Source organism: Homo sapiens, chromosome 15 (genome assembly GCF_000001405.40).
Source record: "Homo sapiens chromosome 15, GRCh38.p14 Primary Assembly".
NCBI classification, from domain to species: Eukaryota; Metazoa; Chordata; class Mammalia; order Primates; family Hominidae; genus Homo; species Homo sapiens.
Genome location: NC_000015.10, coordinates 67,599,589 through 67,623,604, shown reverse-complemented (window position 1 = coordinate 67,623,604; position 24,016 = coordinate 67,599,589). Strand labels below are relative to the sequence as shown.

At 37.2% G+C, this 24,016-nt stretch overlaps 1 protein-coding gene and 1 long non-coding RNA gene across 10 annotated transcripts in view; both read right to left on the bottom strand.

Moving 5' to 3' along the window:
• The window catches only part of MAP2K5 (mitogen-activated protein kinase kinase 5), a 264,412-nt gene that overhangs the window by 183,510 nt on the left and 56,886 nt on the right, over positions 1–24,016 (bottom strand). For all 8 annotated transcript variants that reach the window (XR_007064474.1, NM_145160.3, NM_002757.4 and 5 more), the window contains exon 8: positions 22,856–22,920. Coding sequence is in view for 7 of the 8 variants with exons in the window: in NM_145160.3 (NP_660143.1) it covers positions 22,856–22,920 (65 nt within the window). In the remaining variant the exon portion in view is untranslated. The remainder of the gene's footprint in view (positions 1–22,855; positions 22,921–24,016) is intronic.
• Positions 2,176–14,571, bottom strand: LOC124903512 (uncharacterized). Of its 2 annotated transcripts, none has more exons than XR_007064687.1 (2): positions 13,965–14,571; positions 2,176–13,934 (listed from the first exon to the last, which is right to left on the bottom strand). It is a non-coding gene; the product is annotated as an uncharacterized LOC124903512 (long non-coding RNA). The 2 variants fall into 2 exon arrangements; XR_007064688.1 differs by having other exon boundaries at positions 14,085–14,571.

Here is a 24,016-nt window from a genome sequence, read left to right as displayed (position 1 = left end):
AAAAAAGGAAGATAGTAAGTTTTCAAACTGGCTGAGTGATTTCAGAATGAAAGCTGCCAAAACAGACTTAAAGAGCAGTAGTGTCTCTACGTGCTAGTTAGACTATATGCTCTACAAATGACCCTCTAATAAAGCTTTAACAACAAAGAACTGGCAAAAGTTTGCAATATATCATTTATTGTTAAGAAAAACTTAAACACGTAGTATTACTTCATGTTGAACCAACTTTGGAGACAATTAAAAGAGCCATCTGGTATGGATATACCATGTTCCAACTTCTAGATTTCTTACCATGTTTATCTCTTGCCCACTACTATAAGTTTATTCACACTACAGATAGGTGTGGTAAGTACGCCATTCAGGTGTTAATCTCAGCAGAAACGTCACTAAACAATCATGAGAAGGCCAAGTTTTCATTCTCCTTGGGTTAACAGGAAAATATGAGGCATAAGCTACCCTAAAAATACCTATATACCTCCCTTTAATATGCTTTCTTTTTTTTTGAGACGGAGTCTCGCTCTGTCGCCCAGGCTGGAGTGCAGTGGCATGATCTTGGCTCACTGCAAGCTCCAAATCCCGGGTTCACGCCATACTCCCACCTCAGCCTCCCGAGTAGCTGGGACTACAGGCGCCCACCACCATGCCCGGCTAATTTTGTTTTTGTATTTTTAGTAGAGATGGGCTTTCACTGTGTTAGCCAGGATGGTCTCAATCTCCTGACCTCATGATCCACCTGCCTCGACCTCCCAAAGTGCTGGGATTACAGGCGTAAGCCACCACGCCCAGCCCATACACTTTCTTATAAACGCTATAAAGTTAAACTTTGATGCTTCTCCTACTCTTCAAATGTTACATGCTCTATTATTGCCCTTGGCACACTACAGAAAAGTATTTATGTGTCTGTCCCCAGTACTGGGCAGTGAGCGCTGCCATGTTTTAATCATCTTTCTATTCTTTATGCTTAGCACATGTCCTGGCCCATGGTAGGTGCTCCTCACTTCATAAATGTTTGACAAATTACTACTTCTGGATGAAAAAAATAATCACCTGGATAGTGTTTTACAAAAAAAAAAATCCACATGCATTTAATTCATTAACTTCATAATCTTATGAGTAGAAGTTATTATACTCATCTCCATTTCATGGGTAGATTTCTAACTGCTGAATTAAAAGTCTTTATAAGGATTTCAACATCTGGGCCCTGGTTAGTTACCTCACTGATCTCTGCTTCTTCCAGTCTCCCTTATGCACAATACTCAACTCTGTTCCATCAAACGTGCTCCTGCCTCGGGGCCTTTGCACCTACTCCTGAGGGCTGGGCCACTTTCTCCAATATATACCTGGTTTGCTCCATTGCTTCCTTCAGGTCCTATATTGTTTCTTTGACTTTCCTACATAAAACAGCACATTCTCCCTTCAGCACATTCTCCCTTCATCTTCTTTTTTTTTTTTTTTTTTTTGAGATGGAGCCTCACTCTGTTGCCCAGGCTGGAGTGCAGTGGCGTGATCTCGGCTCACTGCCACCTCTGGGTAGCAGGGATTACAGGTGTGTGCCACCATGCCCGGCTAATTTTTGTATTTTTAGTAGAGGCGGTGTTTCACCATGTTGTCCAGGCTGATCTCGAACTCCTGATCTCAGGTGATCCACCCACCTTGGCCTCCCAAAATGCTGGGATTACAGGCGTAAGCCACCGCACCCGGCCACTTTCTTTATTCTTCACAGAGTTAGCAACACCTGATAAAATTTATTAATTTATTATGTCTCCCTCCACAACAAAGGAAGCTCCATGAAAACACACACTTTCGTTTTTTTTGTTCACTGCTATTATTTCCAGTGCCTAAAACTACATCAGGCACATTTTACAAATAATCATTTGATTGCTCTAGGTCTATTTTGGTTTTTATTTTTAAGACAATTTCATTAAGTTTTTCTAAGAAACTGGCCATTTTGTGTTTTCAAATTTATTGTCATAAAGTTATTCACTGGATCCTATTATTTTTAAAATCACTGTTATGTATAGAATTATGTTCCCTTTTTATTCCTAATTTTGTTATTTCTGCTTCTCACTGCTATATTTTATTAAGTTTTTCCAAAGAACCAGCTTTTGGTTTTGTTGAATTGTTTCTTGAATTTTCACTTAATTAACTTTTGTTCTTTTTTTTTTTTTTTCAAACTTTTGTTCATTAGTATTTCTTTCCTTCCACTTTCTTTGGGTTTATTCCCTGTCCCACCTTCTTGATTTTCTTGAGTTAGATTCTAAGCATATCATACCCAGTTATTCTTTACTAAGGTGTGTATATAAACCTATCCTTTAAGAATTACTTTGGTGCATCTCAGGAGTTTTCATATTAATACATGGTATTTGTGGTTCAGTTGTAAATATTTGTATTTTCATAACATTTCTCTAGTAATACTTTTTGCCTTAAAGTCTATTTTGTCTTATGTTAATATAACCACAGTAGCAGCATTCTTTTGATTAGTTTTTGCCAGGTATCTTCCCCTACCCTTTTCCTTTCAATTTTGCTGTGTCTTGGTATTTTAAATTTTCTCCCAATACAGTCTAAAATAGCACATAACTGTATTTTAAAAAATGCAACCTAACCTATTAGCTGCTAATATTACTCTACTTATATTTTTTGTAATTATTGATATATTTGGATTTATTTCTACCACCTAATTCATTTACTTTACACCTATCGACTTCTCTTCCTCTATTATACTGAATTATTCTCCCTTTATTCCATCTATTTGTTTTGAAGTTACACATTCTATTCACTGTTTTAGTTACCCGTATAATTTTTAACAATCATACCTGACTTAACAAAACATAAAGTTAATTGTTATCTATATCCTTCTCCTAAACAATATAAAAATCTTAGAATGTTTTAACTTCAATCAAGCCCTTCTCATCTTAACATATTATTTTCTCCAGTCTTTTTAACTTCATTTTGAATTATTACTATCGTTGTCTTATACAGTCAGATTTACTTAAATGGTCACCATTTCTTCTTTCATGTTATTCCTTCCTGAATTCAATTGGATTCCATTCTTTTATTTCTACTTACTTCCCTACCTACTAGATTTCCTACCCTGTGGTTTCATTTATCTATTGGCATCAACTACTCTATTGCCTTATATGTTCGTGTTATAAATTACTATTTCTCTTCAACAGTTATTTAAATTCACAGGTATATACTTTATCAGTAGTGGTTTTTTGTTTTTGTTTCTGTTCTGAGACAGAGTCTCGCTCTGTCACCCAGGCTAGAGTGCAGTGGTGCAGTCTCGGCTCAATGAAACCTCTGCCTCCCAGGTTCAAGCGATTCTCCTGCCTCAGCCTCCCGAATAGCTGGGTCTACAGGTGCCCACCATCACACCTGGCTAATTTTTGTATTTTTAGTAGAGATGGCATTTGACCATGTTGGTCAAGCTGGTCTCGAACTCCTGACCTCAGGTGATCTACCCGCCTCAACCTCCCAAAGTGCGGGATTACAGGCGTTAGCCGCTGCACATGGCCTACTAGTATATTTTTTTTAAGCAACAGGGTCTTACTCTATCACTCAGGCTGGAGTACAGTGTGACAATCATAGCTCGATGCAGACTTGAACTCTTGGGCTCAAGTGATCCTCCTGCTTCAGCTTCCTGAGTAGTTGAGTCTACAGGAGCGAACCACCATGCCTAGCTAAATTTTACTTTTATTTTTTGCAGAACGGAGGTCTCACTATGTTGCCCAGGCTGGTCTTGAACTCCTGGCCTCAAATGATCCTCCTGCCTCAGCCTCCTGAGTAGTTGAGACTACAGGAGAGTACCGCCATGGCTGGCTAATTTTTATTTTTATTTTTTGTAGAACAAGGTTCTCACTATGTTGCCCAGGCTGGTCTTGAACTCCTGGCCTCAAGTGATCCTCCTGCCTTGGCCTCCCAAAGTGCTGGGATTACAGAAATGGTGTTCACTTTATTTAACTATATTGTAGACTCTAATTACCTAACTATGCTGTAAATTCTTAATATAGGGTCTATGTTATGTTCTACTTTATTGTAAGTTTCAAGGGGAAGGTCAGGGTCCATTTTGTTCATTACTATATGCTTGACCTCTTCCACAGTATATGATATATTCTCCTCCTAGATCCTCTTTTTATATTTAATACTTAATGCATGTCTCTGATTGCCAGGCAATAAGCTAGGCAGTGTGGATACAGCAGAGAACAAATGAGACCAAGTCCCTGCCCTTGTGAAGTTTACCTTCTAATAGGGGCTGACTGACAATAATCAAATAAATATACAATATGTGAGGTGGGGGTAAGTGCATTGAAAAAAATAAAGGTAAGGATATAGAGACTGATCAACATTAGGGACATGCTATTTGATATTAGGGTTGGGGAGGAAGTCAGGAAATGCCTCTCTTTTCAGGTTACATGTGAGCAGTATGGGGGCACACCATTCGGACATCTAGGGGAAGGGGATTCCAGGTAGAGGAAACAGCAAGTTCAAAAGCCCAAGGTGGAAATGTGTGCTTGACATGTATGCAGAAGTAGAATAAGCAAGAGGGCTAGCTGGGGGAGATGAGGTCAGAGAGGTAAGGAAAACAGACTGTGTAGCACCATTTAGGCCATGGTGAGGACTCTGACTTTTATTCCAAGTGATATAAGAGGTCATGAGCAGAGGGGGAGACCTAATATTTCAGAAAGATCACTTTGGCTGCTGAGTGAAGAGAACACATTACAGGAAAGCAAGGATAGAAACTGGGAGGCTAGTTGGGAGGCTTTTGCAGTAAAATCCTAGCAAGCAGTAATAGTGGTTTTGAATAGGGTAGCAAGAAAACAGTGATGAAAGGTGGTCAGCTTCTTGAAATATTTTTGAGGAAGAACCCACAAGATTTGTGGGTAAAGGTATACATAATCTGAGAGAAAAAGAAGGAGGAAGAAAGACTGCAAAGTTTTTGTCCTTAGCATCCTATAGAATAGAGTTTCCAATTACGGAGATGGGAGAAGCTGTAAATGAAGCAGGTTTCCAAAGAAATAAAGAGCTCGGTTTTAGATAATTTTGAAATGCCTAGAGGACATCCAACTGGTAATCAGATATGAGTCTGAAGTTCAGGACACAGGCCAGGGCTACAGACATACATCTGGACTTCCTCAGCATACAGATGATATGTAAAGCCATGGAACTACACACGCTCACTTAGGAAGTGAATTAAACAGAGAAGAGGTGTAAGGACTGGAACTGAGGCTCTCTAAATTCAGAGGTCAGAAAGATGAGAAGAAAACAGTAAAGGAGACGAGAAGGTACAAACAGTAAGCTAACAACAGACCCCAAAGAATGGGGTCCCTGAGGCCATGAAAGTTGATGTTATATCTCCCCCACTGCCAAGCGAAGTACTTTGCACAAAGTGTTCAGAAAACATGTGACTGATTTCAAAAGCAATACTTAGGGATAAATCCAACTGATTATATTATTTACTCCTTGAAATGTTAAAGATGAGTCTAGTACAATACATAAAAGGTTAGAGGTGTGCTCACCTTCATCTAAACTGTTAATGCGAATTTATTAAAAGATACATCATTACAAAGAATAAACTGAATTTCTAGAATAATCTTTAAAGGTAAGGAAAATAGGCAGGGCACAGTGGCTCACACCTGTAATCCCAACACTTTGGGAGGCTGAGGTGGGAGGATTGCTTGAGTCCAAGAGTTCAAGACCAGCCTGGGCAACATAGATGATACCTCATCTCAACAAAAAATTTAAAAAAATTAGCTGGGCATGGTGGCACATGCCTGTGGTCCCAGCTACTTGGGACGTGAGGTGAGAGGATCACTTGAGCCTGGGAGGTTGATGCTACAGTAAGCCATGATCGTATCACTGCACTCCAGCCTAGGTGACAGAGTGAGGCCCTGTATCAAAAAATAAATAAAAGTAAGGAAAATAAATATGTGAAAATAACATGTTAAAAAGTCCACACAAGACAGAAGGGAGAAACAACCTGTGTTCACATTCCAACATCTGGACTCCCACACAAATTTATGCCATGCATAAGATCAACTGCATCTGGATTTTACCATGTTTACTAAAATTATTTATGCCTAGAATTTCAAATTCTAGGAGAACCAAAAAATATGAATCATCCCAGCTGACTCTTGTTCACAAAATAAATAACCTAGAGCTGATCATACATTTTCTGATAAAGCTGGTACAATCTCATACAATTAAAGTAGGCATCTATTTTCTATGGTACTATTCTGCATATTAAGTTCTAAACATATTCCAATCAAATTATTTTAAATTATGAGCAGAAAGAATTTATAATAGGGAGCATATGTGCTTTCCTAGTGATTGTGAGGTAGGATATAATTAAAGAAAGAATGGGGGAGGCTGGCCTATAATCTTACTATAAATATTTCAGATTTCAGCATAACTGACAATATCCTATGTCATAAATGTCAATTTATTAGCAAAATAGTTATCAAAATGAGCACGGAAATACCCCTTTTTTGCCTCTTGGAGAAAAGACCTGGAGCGTAATTGCATGTATAATGACTTTTATTCATAATGGCAACACAGGGACACTGAAATGATAGTATTGCCACTGTTCTATGAAGGACACAGGGCACTTCCTTCATTAACCACATGAACTAAATGCTACTGACTTAAATTCTACTTCTCACATAACGTACTTCAAAGAAGGTTAGTGAAAAGAGGGACACAATTACTCTGTGAATTATTTATAGAGTGTTATCAATTGTTGAAAGGTTCTCCAAATGGATAGGAAACCTAAGAAAATAATCCAGTCACTAAAATAGTGAAAGCAATGGTTAGGATTTGGCTCAAGAAATAACCAGTAATTAAAAAGAGATGGTCTTATTCTAGGTAAGCAAGAAAGAAAGTGATGGTTATTTTGCTCCCTATGTCTCTCAGAGAACAGGTAGAAGACAAGAAAAACGGTGAACAAAGGCTATTTTAAAATAAATAAAAGTTACAAATGTATTTGTTATTAGCTCATTGCAGAGATAGTTCACTCTCTCAAATAATAACATCAGTTCTTTGTTTTCCATGCAAAGATTTCACAGCTTGTGAGATATCCTGTATTCCCTGATTCTCTATTCTCTGAATGCCCTAGGGATTTATAGGACGTCCATCAGAGACATGGCAGAGGTAAAAAGACAAAGGAAAAGAAAGCTCTCTGAGATCTGATTCATTATGAAAAAGTTTGATCGAGACAAGACAAATAAATCATTGTCTAAAACGCAATTCTTAATTCTCCTCATTGGCACAGAAAGTTAAGAGTTGGTCTCACTCAGGTTCAATTATTAAATCTACTTCCTTATTAAAACATGGCATTGGTTAAAGCTAATATACTGTAGGATCATCAGTTTCTATACTTACAGATGATGCTTCTATTCTTACAGATGATGCTTCTTTGCTCTGTGTGACATTTTATTTATTAACCAAAAAAGCCCCTGCTTTTATGTAAATTTAGAATAACAAGATACAAGTCTTTCCTCAACTTAGAAGTTTCCATTTCAAAGACTTTATAGCATTGGCACAAAGGAAAACTAAAACAAAAAGAAAGAAGATGGTAGAAATCGAGGGGGTTAAACTATTAGGAGATACCCACATGAGACTATAAGTCTCCTACTTAAAACAAGGAATCTGAGAGTTGATTGTATTACATTTTCCCAAAAGATTATAAGGCTGAACAACTCTGAAGCCAATACAAAACATGCAGAACGCTTCTCTGCTGTATAAAGCTCATGAGTACACAAATACTGACACAAACAAAAATCTTTTAGTACCTTGCGAGATTAATTTTAAAACCCTCTAGATGTCACCTTTTAATGCAATGATATGGTTTCAGTAACTAAATGTAAACCAGCTGTGGTTCAGCTAATGAAAAATATAATTTTTAAATTTTAAATTAAATAAATTTAAATTTTTAAATTAAAATTTAATCCTCTAATTTCTTGGTCTTTTTAGGTTTATTTGAAGGTAGATTTTATTAACACGTTTAGGACTAATGGCCAAGCTTCGAAATTTTAGTATTCTGTCACATACTAAAGTAGCCATCCACAGAAATACTTCAAATAGTTTCAGGGAAATCAACACTGACAGTTGTTGCCTTCCATAATAGATAAACACATTAGCCAGGCTCTAGCTGTTAAAACAGGAAATCCAAAGTAAACAGCAGTTGTAAAAAGAAGCTTTTATGTAAACTATACTAGTTCAAATAGCAGTCTTTGCCAACCTTCTTTCTGCCTAAAAACCTATTACAGATGCTTGACTACTGATTACAAAATAATTTGTGGTTAAGAAACAGGCCGGGCACAGTGGCTCACACCTATAATTCCAGCACTTTGGGAGGCCGATGCGGGCAGATTACCTGAGGTCAGGAGTTCGAGATTAGCCTGGCCAACATGGTGAAACCCTGTTTCTACTAAAAATACAAAAATTAGCAGGGCGTGGTGGCACGTGCCTGTAATCCCAGGTACTCAGGAGGCTGAGGCAGGAGAATCACTTGAACCAGGCAGGCAGAGGTTACAGTGAGCCAAGATCACACCATTGCACTCCAGCCTGGGCAACAAGAGCAAAACTCTGTCTCAGAAAGAAAGAAAGAAAAAAAAACAGAGCCCCTCATACTGTTTAGGTCTCAAGTCAAATATGTTATGAGGTCACAGATATTAATTTCAAGATAACTGATTGTACATAGGGCTCATAAATCAACCTAATGAATGATATAGGGAACTTGGCTAGATTAGAAAGATTTTCAATAAGAGAAAGCTACTGTAACTCTACATTTGCCATTTCTTCTTTCTGTTTACTCCGGCTATATACCCCTTTTTACTCCCATACCTGCCTCAGAGTTAATGTGGTCATCACTACCTCCATATTTCTTCCACAAGTTGATGTGGCCTGATTCAAGCTTTTAACACTCTCCACATCAACTAGAGTAATGTCTTTTAATATATGGTCTAAATACCTCTGAGATCAAGGAAACTACAGTCATTCTGATCTCTTGATCAAGGATTCTGAAATAATGTAGTGGGCAAACAGAGAAGCAAGAGATATAAAGCCTAATGATGAGAAGGAATGAAAGAACTGGAATTGTTAGGCAATATATGTGGGGGAAAATAGAAATACCCTGAGGATTGACTAGCTAGGAAACTCTCTCTTGAAACAACGTGATAACCATCTAATCTTTGCTCACAGTTTCTGGGAAAACTAACAATAAATTACTTTCCAAAATCAGATACATAAATGGCTACTTCAGAAAACCTCCTTATTCTAATAATTAATATTCTATTGTGCTTTATAGTTTATAAAACATTTTACATATAGTAAAGCTATTTGATTTCCACAAAAATTTGTGAGGTAAATATTATTATTATCACCACTTTATAGACAAGGAAACCAAGGCTTGGTGAGGTTACTGAATGCTTCACGATTCCTATCTGTAAGTACTGGAGTGGGAAGTAGATCTGGGTCCTCTGAAGCCAAATCCAGTGCATGTCCCAACAAGCTTTGTGTGAAAATAAACTGGTTGCTTCTAGATCCTCTAATTTCAGTTGTCTTCAACATTCTCTGGATATGGTCAGTGTTGATTTTTTAAAAGCAATAGGGAAAATCGATTGAATGGCTCACTTTTCAGAGTTGCATTAACTTTTTCAGGCCACTGGGGTACAATTTACTAAATTACCTCTTCTAGAACACTAAATAGTACCCTAGTGGGTCAAAGAGTAAATGCACCTCTGAAAAGTGAGCCATTTCTTCCCTTCTTCCCCGTAATATCAGATGTAATATGTCCCCTATGACAAAAATATTAACCCGTTTCCATTAAAAACTCAAGAAATTGTCCACACTAGATAAAATGAGTATGGAGAAGCTTCCCTAGGGAGCTGAAGAGGAGCAAAAATCTCTCTTCTATAATCCTGCCCACAATACTGTTGACAAGTCAACATGAACTTATATAAAAATATTTGTTTTTCATTCAATGGAGATTTATTTTAATCAAGACCTCAAAACAGAATAAAAATATAAATTCAAAGCTGATGGTTTCCAGGGGGCAGATGCAGAGGATATCATCATGGCTAGTTTCATCCTGCATTACAGTGTTTAAAACTAAGCTCAAGCATTCATCTTGCTTATGAGATAATAGATATATCCCAAACAGCTGGTCTTTCACATGTATCATTATACAATAGGTAATCTCTCTGACCGAATGAAACAAACATTCCTTGGCTGGCAAGTAAGCATGTTATTACTTCTAATCTCCATAAAAGCAAACTCTCTGATACATTTTTGAATTGTCTTAGGAATAGCTATTGAGTGATTTAACATTTGCAAGATACCTTAGCAAAGCCAGTCTTTTAAGTTTTCTGCACTGTTCTTGCCTTACTCTTCTGGAAGATGGCTTTGCAATGAAAATAAGACAACTTTAATTTAAGAATCATCCAGCTTCTAATTAAACTGCCATAGGCAGCTGGTTGGATAAGTTTTAATCAGTTTCAATCACCTATTGATTGGTATACTGAAGCCTGAAAAATTAAAAGTAAAAGATGATTGGGGAATTGTCCCATCTCAGAACAACAGTAGAGGCCTCTGTAAATAACTCCTCTTTTAACTATCAGCTAAATGAACACTTCAATACTGCAGTACAAAGTCTTCTGCAAAATTACTTTAACTAACAAGCAGAAATTTATCAGCTTCAGCCAAAATCAATGCTGAAATCAATTTGAACACTGGTTGTGTCTAAAGGGGCTCATTGGCAATTTAGGGAAATTACACCATGTAAATGCCTGTGCTTTAATTGAACAGTTTCATCAACTAGGCTGTGATTGCTGTCCATTCATTTATTTACTTTCGCTGCAGCTACCATTCTGCAAAGAAATGGCTTTTGTCAGGCTGGAGAGAGGCACTTTATCTTCATTTTGTGCACTTTTGTGCATAAAAGACTTCATGAAATGGGCATATCATGACTAGGGTCAAAAGAAACCAGGAGAGACTTTTTCCTTTAACGTAAAAACTGAACGACACAAACTACCATCATATCTTATACCATCCAGGGACAGTCATCTTCAAACCAATAATAAGAAGGAATTTGAGTGACTTCACTGCACATGACACTATGCCTCTAGGTTGAGGAGCTATGTTCTGGACAACAGAAGGAAAGTATTTGGACTTTAAAACCCAATTCCACCAATGTTCTTTATGAGATACCTTTGTTGAGTTACAAAAATATATAAACTGTGTTAGAACATTCTCCCTCAAAAATTAGGCAACATTCTGTTTTTAAAAATCCTTTGAGGTTAGTCAAGGGAAGGTGTTATTCTCCAATCCATTTAGAAGATTAAAACTTAACGGTGTCACATATACTCTTAAAATATGATAGATAGGAGAAAGCAGAAAGAGGTCTATGTGAGAGGAGGGAAACTAACTTCCTTATAAAGACCAGCAAGTCCAAAATATTTAGATTCCAGAAATGATTTAAATACACTCATAAACTAACTCACAAAATCATGGCAGTGAAAAAAAAAAAAAAAAAAGAAAACCAAAGATAAAATTTCCAGGGAGTCATGTGTTGAACTGACTGAGGTTCAGAGATCAGCACAAACATTTCTGACATTGAGCTAATCAGTTATTCAGAGATTACACGTTCCAAGGAAGGAGGGAGGAAGGGAGACAGCTGTTTGTTCATATTGGTCATCTACAAGATACATGTGCCTGGTGCACAAAATAAAAATTCAAAGTACAGCTGAAGTATATCTGCTAGAGATTGCTGGCAGAAATTCTTAGGTTTGCATATATTCTGTTTATTCTAGCTCCTCTTAGAGCCAAAATGTAATTATTTACCAGGAATGGCATTGGGAAAGGACTAAGAATTAAAAAAGCCTGGGTTTCAGTGGTGATCTTATCCTTGACTTGGTCTGAATCCTCAGGGAAATCCATTCATTTATCTGTGTTTCCATTTCTTCATAAATCAAATGAGGATGACGATACCTAGTGTGCTCAGCTACATTCCCACACAGCTGGGGCCATAACATGAAGCTTGTGATTGGCGCCCACTGTAGAAATGTAAATGCAACCACAGTGACTCTGAGTACCTCTTGGCATCTTCCACGTATAAGGGCAGGTAGGGCTTTGAAACATTTCACTTGAGACTCCAAAGGAGCAGGGAAACTTCTCATTTGCCCCTTCGGTCAGTTACCCCAGCTGTTGTGCTCTGCAAATACTCACTAAGAATTACCTCCAAAAGAAGTTAAAAGAGAGGAGAAACAAATGGTGTACACAAACTTAACTCGGTACATGTGTCTATGGTAAAAATTCATTCTATAATTTTATCCCATGTATTTTACCCCACCACTTATAAAGTTTCATTGGCTATATATTTTGTTGCTGAGGCCATGTAAAATATATTTTATTCATAATTTTTAGATAACTTTTCTGAAAATTTAATTATGATTTAATAAGTTTTATGTTTATTGGCTAAGTATATTGATACATTTTGCTGCTACAGTTAACCGTCGTAATAGAATCAGTATGTTTGAGAACCTCACACAATACATATCTTCCAAATACATTAAGCTTGTTAAAATGCTATATTGATTGTGCCCTAAAGCAAGTTCTAATTTTGTGTGAACATTTTTCATTTTATTATTTAAATTCACAAGACAAAAACCATTAACTGCTTTCAGCAATACCACTGTACTCTCTCTTTCTTTTTGCCATACTGACAAGGAAAAGTAAGGAAATTTTAGGGTCAAGAAGACAACATGATATAAAGTCACATTTAAAAAGCAAATTAATGTTTTTTTAAAAAAATTTAATGCTTAATACCCACAACCTAAATCTCTACTGCTATTCCCCCTCAAATTTTGCAAACTGCTCCTCCAATTCAACGTTAGTGTACAAATCAGAACCTAAACATATTTCACTCTAGTAAGACAGCAATTTAACAGAAACATGGTCCCCTACATCAAAGTAACCAATGACAGAGCAAAGAAAAAAAAACTGTGGCAGAAAGTTATACGCGGTAAATGCCTTTTGGACTTTCCAGTGAATTATTTTCCAAAAAAGCAATTTAAGTAAATACCCTAGATGCTATGGTACACAAATATTTGCTTGTGCAATATGCCAACCAAGAGACTACGATTTTCGAACACATCAAATACTGTAAAATAGCTATAAAAAAGAAACGTGTCTTATAAATCAAGAAATAGACCACCCCTGCTAGCACAACCATACATTTAATCCAGGGATTCAATTATTAAATTATAAGTTTTTGGTAAATAAGGACACCCAAAGGGTAGACCAAATAACAAGTTATGTTGTCATAACTGTCAGCCAAGAAGTGGACGTTTTAACATCTACTAAAAAGCCTCTAAAATTAACACCTAGAGATGATACATCATTGACTTTCAAATTTATACACTAATTTTATATCTTACATCCAAAAATAACTTGGGTTAATAGTTAGGAAATTCAGAGAGTGAATGGCAAACAGAAAAACCTTGGCTTGGGAAGCAGGTGTCAGAAGACCTAAGTTTTATTCTTGACTTGATCTTGGGCATGCCACTTAGCCCTTCCAAACGTTATCTTTCTCATAAGTAAAAAGAGGGTAACATACCTTCTTAGCAAGGATTTACTAAGGACTAAAAGACCCAGCATGATCAAGCCCTGTCCATCTCTACACCTTCCCCAGAGCTTATTCTACTCCAATTACACAAGTTCATGCCTATCTTAATCTTAGGGCTTCCGCCTGAGTGGTTACTTCTGCCTATAAGGTTCTTCTCCCAGATTTTCCCATACTGATTCCATCCTGTCTTTAGGTCTCAGCTCAAACAGCACCTCCTCAGATAGGTCTTCCTGAGCACCTCTTCTACATTTTTTATAGAATATGCAAAGTCTATTCTATAGACCTATAGAATAGGTCTACAGAATCTACAGACCTATAGAATAGGTCTACAGAATCTACAGACCTATAGAATAGGTCTACAGAATCTACAGACCTATAGAATAGGTCTACAGAATCTACAGACCTATAGAATAGGTCTACAGAATCTACAGACCTATAGAATAGGTCTACAGAATCTACAGACCTATAGAATAGGTCTACAGAATCTATAGACCTATAGAATAGGTCTACAGAATCTATAGACCTATAGAATAGGTCTACAGAATCTATAGACCTATAGAATAGGTCTATAGAATAGGTCTATAGAATCTATAGACCTATAGATTCTATAATCTTACTTCAGTGTTTATTGTCTTGATTATTGTTTGCCCCACTAGTGTGAGTTCTGGATAGGGACCTTGCCTATCTTGTTCACAACTGGACTGTACATGCTTGGAATAGTCCTTGGCACAGTGACAGGATGTTCAGTGAAAAATGAATATAGACTAAACAAAACCAAGCAACACCTGACATAAGGTTTTTATGGTAACTGAATGCTGAATTTAGTTCTGGGACTTTAGGCTTGGGAGACACCTGTGCAGTCATCTCATGTCCAGGTCAAAGTGGGAATTCTTTTCTCAGCAGTTCTGAACAACAGCCACATCATTCTGCTTAAGGTAGAGGAGTTCACCACTTCCCAGAGTCACCCAGCAATGAACAACACATTGTGTCCATCCTTAGGCTGTGAAGAATCTGCCTCTGCAGGTAAATTCCTGAAACACTCACTAAGTGCCTACAGTAGGTAAGGCACCGTGCTGGCCCTGTGAGGACTCCCACCAAGGTAACCTAGACATGACTCTCCTCCAGGGAACACAACCCAGTGGGAACAAGAGTAGAAAGAGTACATTAATCACTCTAACCAAAGGCCGACTGTCACAGAGACATTCAAGACAGGCCCTTTGTGTCTAGTATTCAGAAGAACACAAAGCAAACCTGCTCCTCATCTACAGAAATGCCCTTCAGACTTTAAGTCAGCTGTCATGGAGCCCTTTAATCTTCTCTTTCTCAGAGAAAAGTTAGCCAATTCCTTTCAAACACTTCTCAGCTCAAATGCCAGTTCCTCCATGAGGCCTTTCCTGATCCTTCCTGAGGAAAAAGCTAAAAGCCATCAGTTCTTCCTCAGCCCCCCAGATCTGTGCACCATACACACAGACAGGTGGCCCCAGACTGTGGGGTCCTGTGCATACCTGAGAACAGAACTTCCTCATCTATCCAGACACAAGTTTTATGAGGCTAGGCTGTCCCCAACATCTGACACGCCCTCCACACAGCACATGCTCAGAACTTGGCTGCTGGACAGATGAATGAAGGAGGACTGAACAGACACAATTCCCCAATCCCTCATTATTCTCTCCATTGCTCCTCTGGGTGCTCTCTGAACTGTCCATATGTCTGTAAACTCAGCACCCAGAACTACATACAGGAATCCAGAATCCAAAAGTGACAGACACTATGTCAGTCCCTGATGTTATGCCTTCTTGGTGTGGCAGGGAATAGATTCAAATGGAAATTAGATCTCTTACACCCTACAACACAGAAGTGCGCTAATGTAATGTTTACCTGATCACAACCACTTTTGCTGGGGACTTTAAACGTCTTTATAAATAAAAAATTGTTACTAAAATATTAGAAAGAAGTCTTGCCACTTCAAAACTATTTTTTTCTCTGAGAGGAGATGAAGTTGAAACACTTAGATTCAGCAAATTCTTACTTGAAATATTACCATAACGTATTGATTTTTACCAGACTCAATTGACTGAAAAGTTGTTTGTATAGCAATATTGGCCAAACCAATATACTAGAACAATTTTGTTACCCATAGTAATCAAGTGCATTTCTGAAGTATAATTATACTATCATAAAAAATAAAACCAAGATACCCTTTTCCAAGCAATAAAACAATAAAGGCTATAAAACAGAAAGAAAAAAAGGCTAAATAAATGAGATTTTTAAAAATGAAATTTAGTGTCTTTCAAAAACACTACTGCCTCTTCTTCCTTCCCTTAAGCCAAGGTTAGCAGAAAATGATCAATACTTCAATCTCAATAAACTATTTCAATAATAGTTAATTCGGGTGGAAACTGAGTCTGAAAATCTCTGCTCAGCGACCTGTGACATCCTGTCATGTTGGCTGGATGCCAATAATACATCATTGCCATAATGGATATGAGCATGTATGAAGTTACAGGAACATGGAGAGGTGGGGAAAAGCAAAGGTGGGAAAGGTACAGAGAACCATGAGCTCAGGTTCATTCCTTAGATTCGAATCAATAAAATATACATTATCGTATGAAACAAACCTGTAACAATGAATGCTGAGAGAAGGAGAGAAGGAAACATACATAATTAATTTTATTTGACAAATATTCATTGATTTTCTGAAAACATTAATATCCTTGCTTGTCACGATACTATAATGCAATCCAGTCATATACAAATATTTAATTTTGCATTAGGATGATGTCTTGTTTGCTTCTTTAAAATATGATCTTGGCTGCAAGGAAAAGACTCCTTAAGTGATTAGAAATTTAAAGTCAAAATAAATCAAACCATCATTCTAGCTCTCAGGTCAATTTTAAAACCATTTAAAAACTACTCTTAATTTACAAGATACACATCATGCAAAAATATATAAAGGAGTAGGGCCACTAACACAGCCACAAGCGAAGCTGGGTCCAGACCTCTTGCTCCCTCTTTAAGTTTCACACCTTCAGGTTGGTTGGTGAAAGAGGAAGTCAAGGTTTTCTGGGTACTATGTGGTTCCCAATATTTTCACCACCAAGGACTCTTTTCATTCTGTTTCCCCTAAGGAATTCCATGTTTTGAAATATTCTGTTTACTAAATAGCATTTAACTAGACAATTTATGTATTTTCTCATTTTATACAAATGACCATCAGTCCTTCTAATTTTCATTAAATAAATCATATTACTATAATGAGCTAATATGATTCCAGCTCCCAAACAGTAATTTAATGTTTTAGTTGGCCTCTACAGTCAAATCACAAGTGCAAAACACAACCTAATAGGCCACAGGATCTCAGTTACCACCTCCAAGGACCATCCCCAGCCCACTGCCCAGCAAATACCTCTTTTTAGATAAGGCAACAGAAAGGAGGAGAGACCAGCATCTTTGAGAATGACAATTCCTTCCCTCCTCTTATTGTCTCTAGATAGGTTCAAATTAATTCCTAAGTAATGGTATACATTCAACCTTCAAAACACCATGAAGGCAGTATATATACTACCCATTGTATCACTGAGAAAATTCTACCTCAAGTCCAGATCAGACTCTTACTCTATCCTGTGGGAAGGAGCTGGAGATAGAAAATTCAGTTTTCAAACATCTTGAGACTAGATTATCTGGCCCCAAAGCTGAAAATATGAGTCTTGGCTTGAATAACTGGCATTAAGGAAAAAATAATATAAAAGATAATCTTTCAGTGATTGCTGGCTAACTGACTTACTATGATTTAATCCTAAAAGTTAAATATTACTTCATTTCTAGATCCAAAGTTTGAGTGACTCCATCAAATGATATGCCAAGGAAGCAGAGTCTGAGAGACTGGCTTTGGAATCAAACAATGTTTCCAAAGTAACTATGCCTGTTAATTACTTTTATTTCCATATGACATACTACCCAAGAAAAAGAGACAGTAACTAGTGAGTCAACAGATACTAAGCACTGAAGGTTTTAACATTTTAAAGAAAGTTAATCATTCGAATATCAATCTCCTCAGTGTGGATATTCTTTTTCTTCTAGGTGAATGTTCTACAACAATTGTACAGCCTCGCAAAGTAGCTAGATATGAGGAAGATCCAATGAAAGAGCCCCACTAAAACCTCCACTTGCCTCATTCTCATTTTAGCCAAGACGTACCAAGGGTCTATTTTATCCTTAAAACTGTGCTGGGTACATGAGAAAACACAAGAAAACAAAATGGACTCTGCTTGACCTTGAGACAACACTGCCTGGGGGAAGAACACCAAGCAAAAAGAAAAGAAATGCTGTATAGAAATCTGGCTTTGCTGCTGAATGGCCACATGATAAGCCCCAGTTTTTTCAGTGGTAAAATGGGCTTAACCCAGCTGTCCTATAGCAATCTGAAAATAAATTAGGATTAAAAATACTTTGAAACTTTAAAAAATCATTGTATTTAAGATAATACATAAGATATCATGATTCATTAAGCAACTACAGAATAGAAGAAAATACAGAAGTATAATGTGTATAATATAAAGGCAGAATTTCTCAAAGTTAGTTCAACACAACTATAATTCTGTGAGATGTTTATCAAAAAGAGTCCCATGGCTGGCTGGGGGTGGTGATTCACGCCTATAATCCCAGCACTTTGGGAGGCCAAGGCAGGTGGATCATGACGTCAGGAGATCCAGACCATCCTGGCCAACATGGTGAAACCCCATCCCTACTAAAATACAGAAAATTAGCTGGGCATGGTGGTACATGCCTGTAATCCCAGCTACTCTAGGGAGGCTGAGGCAGGAGAATCACTTGAACCCGGGAGGCAGAGGTTGCAGTGAGACGAGATCTTTCCACTGCACTCCAGCCTGGCGACAGAGCGAGACTCTGTCTCAAAAAAAAAAAAGAAAAGAGTCCCATGGCCAAGTCAAGGTAGGAAGTACAAAATGTAAATAATTTTTCTATTATTAGTACTACCATTACCAGTAGTTAACATTTAATAAGTGTCAGTCATAGCGCTAAGCCTTTTACGGATCTTCTCATTTAACCTCACAACAACCTAGATACTATTAATTTTTTTTTCTTGTTCTGTTGCCAGGCTAGAGTACAGTGCCACAATCTCGGCTCACTGCAACCTCCACCTCCCGGGTTCAAGCTATTCTCCTGCCCCAGCCTCCCGAGTAGCTGGGACTACAGGCGCCCACCACCATGCCCAGCTAATTTTTATATTTTTAGTAGAGTCGGGGTTTCACTATGTTGGCCAGGATGGTCTCAATCTCTTGACCTCGTGATCCACCTGCCTCGGCCTCCCAAAGTGCTGGGATTACAGACGTGAGCCACCGCACCCCGCCCAACCTAGATACTATTATTATCCCCATCTTGCAGATGGGAAAACTGAGGCATAAGACATTATATAACTTGCCAAAGGTTACGTAGCTAATTAGTGACAGAGGCAGGATTCAAACTTAGAGCCCTCACACTTAACCACAACACATACTATTCTCTACTTTCTCAAAGTTTTTGAAATTCATTATGAATCTCTCAGAGGGAAATAGAACATGTGTCTTTCCTGAATTTATTTTTTTGGAGCAACTTGCAGCACTTTAGGAAATGAGGCAACAAGGAAAATACATTCATTATCTTTTCCTAAACTTTTCTTCTTCCTAGGCTTGGGCCATACTTTAAGGTATTTCCTTTATGTTCCATGTAGCCCAAATTAGTAATCCAAGAAATACCAACTTAAAATTACCTGCCTAAGTCACTCTCATAATATAGAGCACAGCTCGTCAGGAGACAGCACACAGAATTCACATTACCATTTGGTTTAAATGTCTGGGGCCAGAATTTCATATTGTACAACTGTGAAGGATATCTACACTTAAAGGAGGAAAATGTATCAACTGTTAAATCATATACATTGTAATTACACGATTATAATATCCCTTGAAATTCCCAAAATTCCATCAAGTGAAGTGAATAAGACTGCATTATTAAACTTTTGCTTTGCACTTATTAGCTTTATTACACTTTAAAGAAAAAAATGGAATAAGCCTATTAGGCAGTTTTGTTACCAATGAGTGGATTTTCCAATATTTTCTTCATCTAGTTTATGTAGCATAGCCTATAATGTAATCATGCTGTTTGAAAAACCATATTTTTTATCATCAACACCATTAAGGTGAACTTAGTGTAGAAGAAACTCAATCATAACACATCAAACACTTAGTTTTATAGAGACTTTAGTAAAGTGGATCCTCATTTATCAATGATTATATCATTTCTTTGCACTGTACTAAAAGCCAGGGATATAAGAACAATAATACAAGCTGAAGCCTGAGCAAAAATGATGCCCAATGATCAATGACAAGCGGTTATGCAATTTGGTATCTTCACCGCCCCTCTCAAGAATCACACAGGCAATAAGGTAAATGAAATTTCTTTTTATAAGAAATCTACTATATAAGAATGAAAATTATCAGGATACTGTCATTCACCATCTATAAGCAATCCTGTCAAAAACATTACATCTTACAACACTCACAGTGAGCATTAGCAACGGTAGCTAAATGAGCTCTTAGGATAAATTCCTAACGTTACACACAGCATTCTAGCAAATTAAAAAACTTGTGGCAAGGACATATAGAAGAATGGTCCCTTTGACATAGTAGCCCTAATTAAAGGAGAAGTTCTAGCCATGCTTCTTAGCTAAAAACAACATTAACAGAGTGATGGGGGAGTTACTGTTTAATGGGTGCAGAGTTTCGATTACACAAGACGAAGAGTTCTGTGGATGAATGGTGTTAACAGTTGCCAACAATGTGAATGTACTTAATGCCACTAACTATACACTTAAATATGGTTAAAATGTTAACTTGAGTTATGTGTATTTCACCACAATTTAAAATAACAATTTTAAAAACAACATTAACATAATTTCATGTTGTAATTTTCCCTTGGGGGATGGGCATGTTTTTTCCACTTCTCTGTATACTCCCTCTTTTAAAAAATAAACCTGGCCAGGTCTGGTGGCTCACTCCTGTAATCCCAGCACTTTGGGAGGCCAAGGCAGGTGAATCACGAGGTCAGGAGCTCGAGACCAGTCTGGCCAATATAGTGAAACCCCATCTCTACTAAAAATACAAAAATTAGCTGGGCATGGTGGCGTACGCCTGTAATCCCAACTGCTTGGGAGGCTGAGGCAGGAGAATCCTGGGAGGCAGAGGTTGCACTGAGCTGAGATCGTGCCACTGCACTCCAGCCTGGGCAACAGAGCGAGACTCCATCTCAAAATAAACAAACCAACCAACAAACAAACAAGCCTATGTTTTAAAATAAAGGATTAAAATGTCAACATCTAGAATATTATGTCTCGTAAAAATTCTGCTGGGGTTTCATGGTCTTATGCTTCTTCCCTTCTAGAAATAAGCTAGGAAAATAAATTCACAATAGACCTTCAATTAATATAAAACTAAAGGTTTGGTGAAATAACACAGATAAGTAGGTTAGGAGTCTAAATAAACATTTTTAAATTCCATTTGAAGCAAATAAAAGGAATACAAAGAGTTGCCAGAAATCTTTCCTGTTTTATTATATTTGGCTATCAGCATAAAGGCATTAAGAAGAAAGGTTCAAGCTTTGAAAAGTGCTCCCTCCAGGGAACTCAATAGAAGCAAATCAGAGTATACATGTTCCTTCTTCCTCTTTCCTTTCTATGGGTACCTGAACTTAAGTACCTTCAGAACACAGGAAAAATCTAAGTCAGATCGTAAGGAAGAGAAGACTAAGATGAAAAGATACCGTTTATAGTGGAGGTTGCGTGGGAAGGAACGCTAGTATGATCCAGGGAAAGAGAATAGTAGCCGCAAAAATCATTAGACACATTGGACCTCAATTTTAAGGGCCAGGCCCAAGGCCCAAGGAACATGTAAGAAACATGTTATTATTTATTTCTCTGAATTATCATAGTGGAAGAACTTCATTTTCAGACCAACTGTTCACAATACTCAGTCATCTGCAGGAAAAAACAATCCAAACATGTGAACATAAGTTCTTAAAGGACTATATTCAGGAGAAAGGACTCACATCTTGGCTGTATCTGCAAAGGGCACTGAAGCCCTGAATGGGTGACTGGATCAGATTACTTCAAAAGAGCTTCTAAGCCTGAGAAATCAAATTCTATACCAAGGCTGCATCAATGAGTAGGGGATGTTCTGGGATTTTTAGGATGTGAACCTTCATGGTCATAGAATAGGGCAATTTTTATGTGTATTCATGTGGTTAGTCAGAACTTAAAATTCTAAGAACATGGGTAACCAATTAGAAAATAAGTTAATTATTTTACAACTCTGGAAATACATATTAATATCAATGTTAAAGTATCTGTGGTTGTGATCTAATATCACAACCATAATGTGATGCAGGATTAGTGTATACATGGAAAACCAGCTCTCTGGAGGAAAGTTTTATTATTCCCTCAGGGCTTTCTTACAGAGTATGGATTTTTTAATTCCTAGTGGAATATTTTTCATACACCATTGCAGACTATTAAGTACCAGATATTACATTATGTAGTTTAAACTTTGCACTACTGCATGAGAAGACCTCCCTGTCGGAGAACTATTTTTTATGGCTAGCATTTTTTAAGATGAAAATGAACATTCCTTTGGGGTAAGATCACTGCAACTGGAATTTGGGAGAACTTTATAACTTAACATATTCATCAATGTGTAGAAATTATCTCAGGGGAGTAGGGTGAGGAGAGAAGAAAATACAACAGGAAGAAGGCTTTTTAATAACTTATAGTGTTGACACAGGGCAAAGCAATGGTATTTATAAGGTCTGGCTTCCACTGGGCATAACTGTAAACAGGCAGGGGACTAGCGTAGGGTACTAGCAAGTTAAAAAATAATAATAATAGTGTTAAAAAGCAAAGGAAAAAAATGCATTAAACTTCAGGCCAGTTAAAGGTACACTTACTAATGGTGGACTATTAACTACACACCCAGGAGAGTTGCAGACTCGGAAATATTAAAAAGGCAATATAAATGCACTTTCCAGGCAATTCTTGAGAAAATAGATGTCTTGCAGAATTTTGGAGTCAAATATGGAAATAAAATCTAAGTGTTAGTGGTCATTTAAAAATCTTTGCCACAGAGAACTTGGATACTCAGTATTTGGAAAAGCGGATAGAAAGTTTAAACAAAATTGACTACTCACTTGTAGACTGTGCCTCCGTTGCCATGACCAAGAGTGTCCCGATATCGTATGTCTTGTTCATTCATCTCCACAAGAAAGAAAGAAAAACAAAAAGGGTGTCATGCTGTGGATGGAAATGTCAAGGAAAAGCAACTCTGGGCCATAAACAACAAGCAGTCTGGGTCATTTCAAGTTCAGCTGCAAAAACGAGAAGATCAATACAACGTTTGCTGTCCAATTTATAAAAGACGATACCAAGGGACGAAGTGATGGAAAGTTTAATGACAATTTGTTTGCCTGGGTCATTTCATTAAAGTTTGATAAAAGGTGTCAAAATGGAATGATACAACATAGCTCAAAAGGGTCAGGTCAGAGATACTGATAAGAAAACAGTCTCCAGTACTGCATATAACCAATGCCAAAGAGCACTGCACATAACCAAAGTCAAACTTAGGAAGACAATACACACACACACTCAGTAATCTAATGCATGATCTGTAAATAAATCAGCCCTAGAAAACTCCTCAGATGACCCCCATAATTAACATTTAACAAACTAAATAATGTTTATGATTTTCCTAGAGTAGATATAGCTTTTCTTTGCAAATAACAAACTAGTATACAGCAATAATTAGGCAGAAATCATATTATGAAGATGGAAAAGCACGAAATCAATGCACTTAAGATGCACATATAGTCGAATATTATAATACATAAAGGAAAAATACATAGGCATGTAATTTTTATTAAAGTCATTTTCGTAACTTTATATATAAGTTTGCATGTTTTTCAAGGTTCTATAAAACCTATTATACCACAAATAACTACTCTCATTTGTATTATGAATAGTAGGTGCCCATAAAATAATGTTTTAGAGTTTAGAGAGCTCCCTATACAATTATTTATCAAATGACTTTAAGACTAGTCAGACTTTATTTGATGCATTCAGTAATTTTCTACACACTGGTCCAGATGCTTAAAAATTAACTGCCAACTTTATTCACTAAGTGGATTTAATAAAGGTGTTCTTTTCCATATAGCTAAAGCTTGGGGAAAGCCACTGCAAGCCCTGAAAAAAAAAAAAATCAATTTCCAGGGAATTGCACTGCCTTGCATGGGCAGAAAATGGATGGAGTTTTTAATTCAATATCACTTGGAAAAAAAATAGTTTGCTCTCAGACC